The sequence below is a fragment of the Homo sapiens genome, chromosome 5 (assembly GCF_000001405.40).
Source record: "Homo sapiens chromosome 5, GRCh38.p14 Primary Assembly".
In the NCBI taxonomy this organism is placed as follows: domain Eukaryota; kingdom Metazoa; phylum Chordata; class Mammalia; order Primates; family Hominidae; genus Homo; species Homo sapiens.
The window spans coordinates 3,202,684-3,213,705 of NC_000005.10; positions in this window are offsets into that span (position 1 = coordinate 3,202,684).

The window sequence follows — 11,022 nt, forward strand, 5'->3', positions numbered from 1 at the left end:
CAATTCTTGTGGGCAAGTGGAAGACAAGTGGACCACGCGGTGGAGACATCTGACTGGCACAAATCGGCGTGGGGACCCGCGGCCCACGGCCTTGTCTCGGGACACGTGGCCCACAGCCCCATGTCAGGAGCTGGCCTGGTCGTCTTGCTTGTTTGGCCTCTGGGCTCGGGCTGGGTCTGGCTCTGCTCATTTTGCTCTAATCCCAGGCTCAACACGCTTCCCTCAAACTCTAATTTTTGTGTTCCTCATTCCTGGAAATTCCTCACCAAAGCAAATCCCATTTCCTCCTTTTCCCGTGAACGTTAGGTGGTTGATGCAGGCCACATCAGCGTTGGTACACGTCACCTAACTTTCAAAAGTGACATCAACGTAATAGAACGAGTGTGGCAGTTCCATGCTAGCCTCTGACTCTGTAGGCAGATAAATAGATCCAAAAAATTCTTGGATGTCATCAAAGCAAAATTCAGATTCTTGTTTAGTACATGACGGCACTTGGAATAACCTTCACAAGCCATTAACCACCTAAATAAGAAGGCACTATGTTCCTCACTCATCAACATACAGAATGTAACTACTGACTTCTCAGTGAAGTTCTGTTTTAAAGTCATGAGATAATGCCTGGGTAACAGAGCAGATGAGTTGGAAATGCTCACTGCCCCTCAGTCAAATTCTCTTTCTTTCTCATCCACAGGACTCTGACTGTGTGCTGGGAGCCCGGTGCAGACCTCGTTCCAGCCTCCTTTGCAGCTCGATGTGGCTGTCTGGCTGATCCTGGCCAGTGAAATGCAAGAGCAGGTGTGCGTAGGCTCCTCCAAAGCTGCCTAATGCCAGTGCCTCCACCAGGCATCTCCTGCAAGCCCACTGCCCTCTCCCTCCTGCAGCCTGAAATGTGAGTGTGCATTCCAGGGGCTGTCAGCCACCTTGGCCCAGGAGAGGACTTTGAGAAATGGAGTCCATGTGGGATGCAGAGGCCACAGAGTGAGCATCCAGTCCCTAGCAATCGCATTTAAGCACCGGGTCTGTAGTCTCTCTGCTGGCAATGGAATGCACTTTTGAGCCGAAACAACCTCTTCCCCTACATCCCTCCAGCATGCTAGAGTCCAGTGAGTCTGTGGGGTTGCGCTGGTGCAATATTTTACAGATAGTCGCATAGAGGAGTTGGTGGGTCCCCTGGTGTGTGATGGAACGTGGGGAGGGAGGTGGGCAGCTGGGCACGTTTTTCCTTTCTTCTGATAACAGGACTTCAGTTTGCCACGGTGGTTGTAGACCCCTCCGCACGCTCAGTCTTGGGACTGATAGCACCTCTTAGAGATCATCAGAGGTCAAGAAGTCAGGCTTGGCTCCCAATCCCCATGGTGATAGTGGGTCCAACGAAGGTCAGTCCCATGACTGTGGAGACCACAGCAAAGAGGCCTCGGTCTTGCAAACTGAATTGCAGCGGGGTGCAGAGAAGAGTGGAAACCTGCTGGGGGGCAGCTCCTGGGTACAGCTGTGCCTGAAGCCAGCTAGCCTTGGACTTCTCAGGTCTCTGGAGCACTAAATTCCTCTTCTTCTAAACAGGTGTGCATGCCCTAGGTTATTTTTTAACAATCACTCACAAACATGCTTTCTAATAAGAAGCAGTAACACAAGAACAGCCTGTTTGGGGCCAGGCCCCGAGGATGGGAGTGGCATCTGACTTGAACAGGATTGTTCTTCTAGGCCTAGCATGGAGTCTGGATCCTAGCATATGTGGTAGAAACTAGAAAATGGTTCCCCCGAAAAATTTTCAGACTGAATCCTTGCGAACAACCCATGTTGCTTTACATTGTGAAATGGACTTTGTGGACAGGATTAAGTTTCAAATTCTGAGCTGGGGGGATCACTCTGGATTCTCTTCTGGGGGGCCTGAGTGTCCTCGCCTGCATCCTGATAGGAGGAAAGCACAGGGGGATTTGACTTCGACAGAAATGAAGAGGACAGACACACAGAGGAGAGAACCAGGTGGCCATGAGATAGAGTCTGGAGTGACGCGGTCACAAGCCAAGGAATGCTGGAGGCCACCAGGGCAGAAAGAGGCTGGGAGTGGTTTTGCTTCTGAGCCCAGCACCTTTTGAGAATGAATTTCAGTTTGTGATGATTTGCCATGGCAGAGTGTGCATACGCAGTGGCCATCGCCTTCTGCTGAAGGGCCTTCCATGGCGCTGACCATCTGAAGAGACCACTGCCCCAGCACCTTCCTTCCCTAGAGTCATCTGTCCACGTGCTACTGGAAGCTCTGTTAGGGTATGCCCATGGCATCTCAAATTCACTTCCCAGAAGCATACCTTATCTTCTCTCCCCACATCGGGGCCTTTTACATCTTTCCCCACGTGGGGCCTTTTACATCTTTCCCCACAGAGTGAATGTCAGGGATGTAGTGTCCCTTGAGCCACACACCTGGGAATTCTCCTCCACCTGCTCCTCTTTCCCACCCGCAAAGTCCAGCATTAGGGTCTTAGCTCTTTCCTCTTCAGTATCTCTTGAAACATTTTTTTCTTGACACCTCCTTGGCCCTCCCCTTAGTTCAAGCTGCTCTGTCTCTCACCTGCGTGATGGCCTGCACTTCCAAACTGACAACGCTTCCTGCATGCTTCTTCTGCAGCCAGGTGAGCAACACCTTGGGTCAAGTCACCCCTGGGCAAGGTACTTCCCATAAAGAACCAGTTCCAGGGTCCATCAGCTCCCTCATGCTCTGGCCCACCCTGCTAGCTCCCCCGGGTGAACCTGCACCCAGCCATGCAGCTTGAGGGCGCTCTTCAGTGACTTGCCTGCTCCCTGTGTTCCTCGTGGGTGCTGTTGTGGTAGGACAGCCTCTTCTGCCAGTTTTGAGCCCGTGCCTCAGTTTCTCCTTCTCAGCTCCTACTCACCCTTCAGACCGAGCTTCTATCACCTTCCCGCCTTCAGAAACATCTTCCCCCATTTCCCCTTTAGTCAATGTTTTCATCACAACTGTTGTTTCATATTAGTTTATGTGATTCTTGAAATTGCCTAAAATTACACAGATCTTCATCATTAGCTTTGAAGCTCATGAAGGCAGAAAACAAGCTTGACTTTGCTTATCACTACATCCTGGGTTCGCAGCACAATACCTCATATGTGGGACATCATTAGCAATGATTTATTGAATCAAAGAACACCGGGATAGAGAACAAAACACCAGCACCTGCTAAACATACTTGTCACGGTATTAGGCATCTCCAAAGAATCAAGTGTCCCATGAAGCTTCTTCTTTTTTATACCTTTGAAACCTCTCTGTGTTTTCCACTGATAATGACCTTGAACTATATCATTTTATTGATTTATTTCATAATGCATTGGTTATTACATTTTTATCTCAAGAAAGGTCAACCACCAGCTTGTTTCGGGAAGTATTACTTGGAAAAGTAATAAAGAAGCGTTATCATCCATTATAAAATAAAAAAACATACTTTCTCCTGTTGTAAAGTCCACTTTCAACAGAGTGGTACTAATGCACAAAAGCCAGAGAAGAATCACCTCCTACTTCCGGAGAGTTGTTCCTTGAGGCTCACCCTACGGGCATCCAGTGCTCTCTCAGCCCTGTCTGCACCCCCCAGCTTCTGGGTGCCTCAGCGGCACATCCTGCCGTGTGAGCCACCCCTGCTCCTTCCATCCCCAGGGGATTACTGCAGCACGGGAGCATGATGTTTCCTTGGTATGGCTGAAATGAGATGTATGGCCCATCATCCATCATTTTCCTGTCATTCTTTCATACCTTGTCTGCTCACCCTCAGGACTCCTGCAAGAGCACGGACTGAATTCCTGTGTAAGTTCTTGGCCAGCTGTGAGGTGTCCCGCTGAAGAGGGCATTCTGCTTCTCCAGAGGCTCTCACAGCCCCTGGGCATCCCAGCCAAGCATAACACAAGCTGGACGTCCCTCAAAGCTCTCCCCAGGCCAGCGTCTACCAACCTTTCTAACAGGTGTTTTCTGAGACAGCTGTGCAGGAGAAGGGGCTGGGGATGGGGGCGTGTAAAAGAGAGCTTGAGACAATTCTAACAAATACCCGAGCTTGCTAAGCCTTCACTAAAGACATTTACTAAGTTTCCTGTGATAAAGTGAAAACTGCTATATTTTTTTTTCCATTTTAAAACAAAACTCAGGCCTGGCACGTTGGTTCACTCCTGTAATCACAGCACTTCGGGAGGCCGAGGCAGGTAGATCACCTCAGGTCAGGAGTTTGAGACCAGCCTGGCCAACATGGTGAAACCCCGTCTCTACTAAAAATACAAAAATTAGCTGGGCTTGGTGGCAGGTGCCTGTAATCCCAGCTACTTGGGAGGCTGAGGCAGGAGAATCCTTGATACCTGGGAGGCAGAGGTTGCAGTGAGCCAAGATCACACCATTGCATTCCAACCTGGGCAACAAGAGCAAAACTCCATCTCAAAAATGATAAATAAATAAATAAATAATAACTAAAACAAAATAAAATAAAACTCAGTGTGGTTTAAATGAGAATGCCATGGCTGCCCAGAGACAGAGTTTTGCACAATAATCTCTTCTTTTCAGGGACATGCAAGATAGACATTTTAAGTGTTATTTTTAGCTTCAGAATTAACTTTTTAAAAGAGATTTTAACTTTTATTTTAAGTTCACAGTTACCTGTGTGCAGGATTGTCATCTAGATAAACTAGTGTCATGGGATTTGCTGTACAGATTATTTCATCACCTGGGTACTAAGCCTAGTACTCATTAGTTATTTTTCATGCTCCTCTCCCTTCTCCCCCCTCCACTCTTCAATAGGCCCCAGGGTCTGCTGTTCCCCTCTCTATGTGCCCATGTGTTCTTATAATTTGGCTCTCACTTATAAGTAAGAACATGCCGTATTTAGTTTTCTCTTCTTGCATTAGTTTGCCAAGGATAATGGCCCCCACCTCCATCCATGTTCCAGCAAAGGACATAACCTCTTTCTTTTATATGGCTGTATAGTATTCCACGGTATAAACAAACCACCTTTTCCTTATCCAGGATGTCACTGATGGGCACTTAGGTTGATTTCATGCCTTTGCCATTGTGAACAGTGCTGCAATGAACACAGCGTGCATGTGTCTTTATAATCAAATGATTTATATTCCTTTTGTTAGAATAAAATGATTTACATTCCTTTGGGTATATACCCAGTAATGGGATGGCTGGGTCAAATGGTATTTCTGGTTCTAGGTCTTTGAGGAGTTGCCACAGTGTCTTCTATGATGGCTGAACTAGTTTACACTCCCATCGACAGTGTATAAGCGTTCTCTTTTCTTCACAACCTGTAGTGCAAGGAAATCAGACAGCAAGCTTCAGTGTTCCAACACATGGACAGAGCCACAGCAATCTTAGCCTGGAAGCCACTTTTTAAGTCAGTGTAATCAACAGCAGAGGGGAAAAGGCCATGACCCAACTGGCCTCATCCAGACACTCATCTCTCCCGAGTTTAAACAAGGACGCTGGTGCATCTCAAAGGTGAGTGGCTGGCGTGCAGCCTGCGGACACAGCAGAGTGCCACCAACACTGGCCAGCTAAATATTGATTTCCCAATGTTGGATGTAGGAGCAAATCTTTAGGAAAATTCCAGTTCAAAGTGTCAATTCCAGTCCAAAGGGGCTGAGATTGAGTCCTACGTAAAGTGCGCATGGAGCACATTCATCTAGAATAAGTCTCAGATTTCATCCATTTACAAAGAAATAAAAACAGATTTCATCATGATTTAGATTATTTTCTCCACTTTCAAGTAAAATGTGGTGACTAGTTTGGCATAAATTGGAAAGAGGATGAGCACAGGACATCATTTTACAAAACTAAAGAAGAGAAAACTTGAGTTTTATGAAAACTTTTTCAAATATTAATGTCATTTGTGAGCTATAAATAAATGAATAAATTGATTTTATTTGTTCATTTATTTATTTTTGTTTGTTTTTTGTTTTTTGAGGTGGAGTCTCTCTCTGTTACCCAGGCTGGAGTGCCGTGGTGCGGTCTCACTTCACTGCAATCTCCCCCTCCCAGGTTTAAGTGATTCTCCTGCCTCAGCCTCCCAAGTAGCTGAGATTACATATGCCAGCCACCACATCTGGCTATTTTTTTTTAATTTTTAATTTTTAATTTTTAGTAGAGATGGGGTTTTACCATTTTGGACAGGCCCATCTCCAATTCCTGAGCTCGAGCAATCTGCCCGCCTTGGCCTTCCAAAGGGCTGGGATTAGAGGCATTAGCCACTGCACCAGGCCACATTTTATTTATTTTTAAATGTTGTATTAGTCCTTTTTCATGATGCTGATAAAGACATACCCGAGACTGGAAAATTTACAAAAGAAAGAGGTTTAATGGACTTATGGTTCCACCTGGCTGGGGAAGCCTCATAATCATGGTGGAAGGCAAAGAGGAGCAAGTCTTACATGGATGGCAGCAGGCACAGACAGAGAGCTTGTGCAGAGAGACTCCCCCTGCTAAAACCATCACATCTTGTGAGACAGATTCACTATCACAAGACTAGAATGGGAAAGACCCACCCCCATGATTCAGTTACCTCTCACCAGGTCTCTCCCACAACATGCAGGAATTCTGGGAGCTACAAGATGAGATTTGGGTGGGGACCATATCAACTGTGTTTATCAAATGATCAACTTGGCTTGCAGGAAGTCACAGAACTGGTCCTTGAAACACCGAGAGCATAAATTAAGATTCTGACTTTCAGTGCTTTCTCCATTTCCACATGGCAAACTTTGCTTTATGTGTACCTCTCGTGTTTATTCTTATTTTAAAGGCTAATATTATTATTCTTGTTTGCCTGCACCGTGCTCCCCTGGACAAGTCCTTTATCCTACTTGTATTCTTCCTTAAGAGCCTGAAGGTCTTTGGGGCCATTTGTTCTTGTAGAGCTGTATAACCACAGTTTGAAATTCTGCACAGGCTATAAAAAACGGTCTTCTAGGATTGTTTTTAAATGAAAGACTTGGAGACAATTTCTTATCCTGGGTCACTGAAAGAAGCATATTGGTCCCAGAGCTGGAATAAAAGCAGATCGTGTCATGCCTGTGGCTGGACAAAGGGGCTGTGCTGTCCTGCTCCTTGGCGCCTCCTCCGTGAGGACCTTCCGTGGATACTCCTTCCATGCCAGGCTCCTGAGAGTTCAGCCCCGTGAGGTTTCTATTCAGCACTCGTGGCCTTGGTGCAAGGGCAGAAAGATTTCCCTGGGGTGCTGGCTGTTATCCTGGGTGCACAGGGTGTCTGGGGAACCCTGGACTGGATGTCCTGGGCCACACAGAGCTCCACCTTCCTCAAGGGTTCATGGTCAGACTACCCCTTAAGCAAAGCAGTGAGAACCACTTCCCTGGTTTTCCATTCCCTGGTGTCATTGGATGGTGAGGTTTCATTAACTTTAACGTGACACCTATTAAAGTTCATCACGTGACCCAACTTCACGTTTTAAACAAACTCTATTGCACGGTGGTCGAGGTTAAGCCAGCTTTGCAGATGACTGCAGTGAGCATGGGCCCAGGTGATGGAACCAGGTGTGTTATTTTGTTTTTCCTTTGCACTCCTTGTTTTTACTGGCATGGATGCTATGAGGAAACTGGCTTTCTTCTTTGCCTGTGATACTATTTAGGACACTCAGATGGTTTTTGTCTTTGTTTTGTTTTTCCCATCTATAAAGATTATTTCACTAAGGCATGCTCATACTCAGAAGATGCACCTGTTCTCTCAGATTTCCAAAGTTTTATTTTAATTCTGTCTAATGAGTATATAGTGTTGAGCATGTGAGGCTTTGAGCTGGGAGAGAAACAAGATGCTCTCTGTGGCCTTCTGAGCCTGTGTTCTGTAAGAGGGACGAGACACACCTGGGCACCTGTAAGGCAAGATGAAGAAAAGGACTGCGGCAGGAGAGTGCGCAGTGCCAGGTGTGTGGCCAGACAGCGCAGGGCGAAGCTGGTTCCCATGGAAGGGGGTCGAGGGTGGTGGGGGAGGATGAGGCTGGGGCCTCGATCTGCATCTGCAGCAGGCTCCCCTGGAGGGCTTGGTAAGCACAGATGGCTGGGAGCCTCCCCGACCCAATCCCAGCTTCTGTGTCCATTGGTCTGGGCGGGGCTGGACAGTGTGTATTTGTAAGAAGTGCTAGTTAACTAACACTGCTGGCCGAGAACTCCACTTTGGGAGCCACTTGGTTTTCTGGGTGCCAGGGCTGTGGTGAGAAGGTCAGCCAGGTGCTCCTCTCAACCACATTCACCACCAAGCTTGTGGACCGTGTGATTCTCCCTGGGGGCAGCTGATGATGGCTTCCTCTCTGGAGAAGACTGGCTCCAGACCTCCCAGTGACTGGCTTTGGTGACCTCAGCCATCCACTGGTGCGGTCCTACTGGGTATCCTGCTGAGAACTCAGAGGTTGGCAGACTTTTCATATCTCCTCGCCAGCTCTTGGGGACAGCACCCACTGAGGCACTGGCCAGGCCAAGAACACACCACGGTGTGTGCCTAGGAGCAAGCCCCTCTTTTCCTAGCCTTCTGAGAAGTCTTCTTCCCCAACCCTCAGCTATGCGCCAAGGCAGGTAACAGCTTTTTCCCTACTTGCAGGGAATTTGGTGGAGATAGAGATGCCATCTCTCCGACACCCCTAACAAGCTGCCATATGTGTCACCATCATTGGCACCCATGGCCTTAACTTTTACAAATTTCCTCTCCTGGTGCCACAGGCCCTCCAAGCCCCCTCTTCCTTTTTCTTTCTGCAACTTGAACACCACTTATAGGAGCAAAGTGGAGATTCAGCTTTGAGTGAGGGAGAGAAGGCACAGAATAATTCCTGGTCCAGGGGTCTTCCAGCCAAATTCCTGGCTAACAGCTACCTGAGAAAAGTTCTCTGACCAAGTGGGAGTGTCAGAAATGTCAAAGGAGTAATACTTATCTGGCTTTTCACGTGTGCATGTGTGTGTGTTATGTGTGGCTGTAGGCTTCTGCAAGTATGTGTGCGCGTGTGGGTATGAGAATGTGTGTGTGCATTGTGAGTGTGTGTGTAGATGTGTGTATGGGTGTGCATGCATGTGGGAGGATGAATGCAGGCATAGGTGTGTGCACTTGCGTGTAATTGTGTGTGCACATATGTATATATGTGTGGAGGTGGGTGTGGAATGTGTGTGCATGTGGGAGGGTTATGCAGGCATAGGTATGTGCACTGAGGTTTAAGTGTGTGTGCACACGTGTATGTGTGTGTAGATGGGCGTACAGGTGTGTGTGTGCATTTGGGTGTAGGTGTGTGCACGTGAGTGTAGGTGTGTATGTGTAGAGGATGCATGTCTGTGTAGATGTGTGCATGGGTGTGTGTGCATATGGGGGTGTGTGTATGTGCGTACGTGTGCGTGTGTGTGTAGATACATGGATGGGCGTGTGTCCCTGCGGAAGTGTGTGTGGGCATAGGTGTGTGCATTTGGTAGTAGCTGTGTATGTGCACATGTGTATGTGTGTGTACAGAAGCATGGATGGGTGTGTGTGCATGTGGGAGGGTGCATGTAGGCATAGGTGTGTGGACTTGAGTGCAGTTGTGAAGGTGCACAGGTGTCTATGTGTGTGCACATGGGTGTACAGGTGGTGTGTATGTGGGAGAATGTTCAGGTGTAGGTGTGTGCACTTGGAAATAGGTGTGTATGTGCACAGGAGTGCACGTGTGTATAGGTGTGTGCATGCGTGTGTGTATGTGAGTGGGTGCATGTAGGCATAGGTGTGTGCATGTCTGCACTTGGGTATAGAGGTGTGTGTGCATGGGTGCGTGTGTGTGTGTGTGTGCGTGCATGACTGTGCCTGGGTATATTGCCTGTGTGTGGTGTGCATGTGTGTGTGAGTGTGTGTGCGTGGAGAAGCAGAGTTCCTAAAAGTCCATGGGAAGGGAGGGCTTGAGGCATCGCAGAAGGAAGGGTGCCGAGGGGCAGTACCCAGGTGGAGGAAGGTGGTGCTGACTCTTCAGTTTTGGGGAGCGAGACATCCCTGTGAGAAGGTGTCCCCCTGGATGTGTCCCAGCTGCACGCCCACTTCCCTCCCCGGATGCCAGTCTGTGCACACCTCCGTGGCTGCTGAACAACATGAGAAACCCTCACAGCCTCTATTGTACATCTCAGAAGCACCCAAAAATGTCAACAACTTTGGGAAACAAATATGACAAAAGGATTAATTTACCTCCTGACATGTAATTAGGAGTCCCTCAAGCAAATTATGCATCATTTAAACAAAAGTTCTCAGAAAAGCACGTGTGAACAAATTAAATGTGGCTACTCTATTTTTTGTCCTAACTCACTCTCCAGCAGCAGCTTCTCGTCATTCAAATTAACGCAACGGTTGCGGCTCAGGCCCCAAGACAGCGAGATCCCGGGAAAGCTGGTTCGGCGGGTCGGTCACACCTTCCTCTTCTTTTTAGTGTTCGTTCCTGGAAGAATCATGGAAGAAATGGTCTTGGTGGCTTCCTGCGCCCTCCTCAGCGCTCCTCCCATTCTGACACTGGCTGGTGGGTCCAAGGCCCATTTCTGTCTCATCTCCCCAGGGCAAAGTGAACTTCTCTGCAGCAAGTCTTTAATGAGACGTTCCCGGGTCCTTTTAGACGCAGCTTGTAGATCCAGAGGTTGATCCACGCCCCTACAGGCTCTCGGTCTGTGATTCAAACCCACTCATCCTTATAGGAAGAGAAGGTGCAGTGTCCGGGGTGAAGGGAGTTGTGACGGTTCCAAGGGCCTTTTCCAACCTTCTGCTTTTCTGGGAGCCTAGGAATCAGGTCAGGCCTGGGATTGGAACAATCACTGCATCTCGAAGTTTTTTTCTTTTTCTTTTCCAAGTTAAAAAATGTGTTAAGGTCTGGGTGTGATGGCTCACGCCTGTCATCCCAGCACTTTGGGAGGCAGAGGCAGGCGGATCACTCGAGGTCAGGAGTTCGAGACCACCCTGGCCAACAGGGTGAAACTCCATCACTACTAAAAATACAAAAATTAGCCAGGCGTGGTGGCAGGCGCCTGTAATCCCAGCTACTTGGGAGG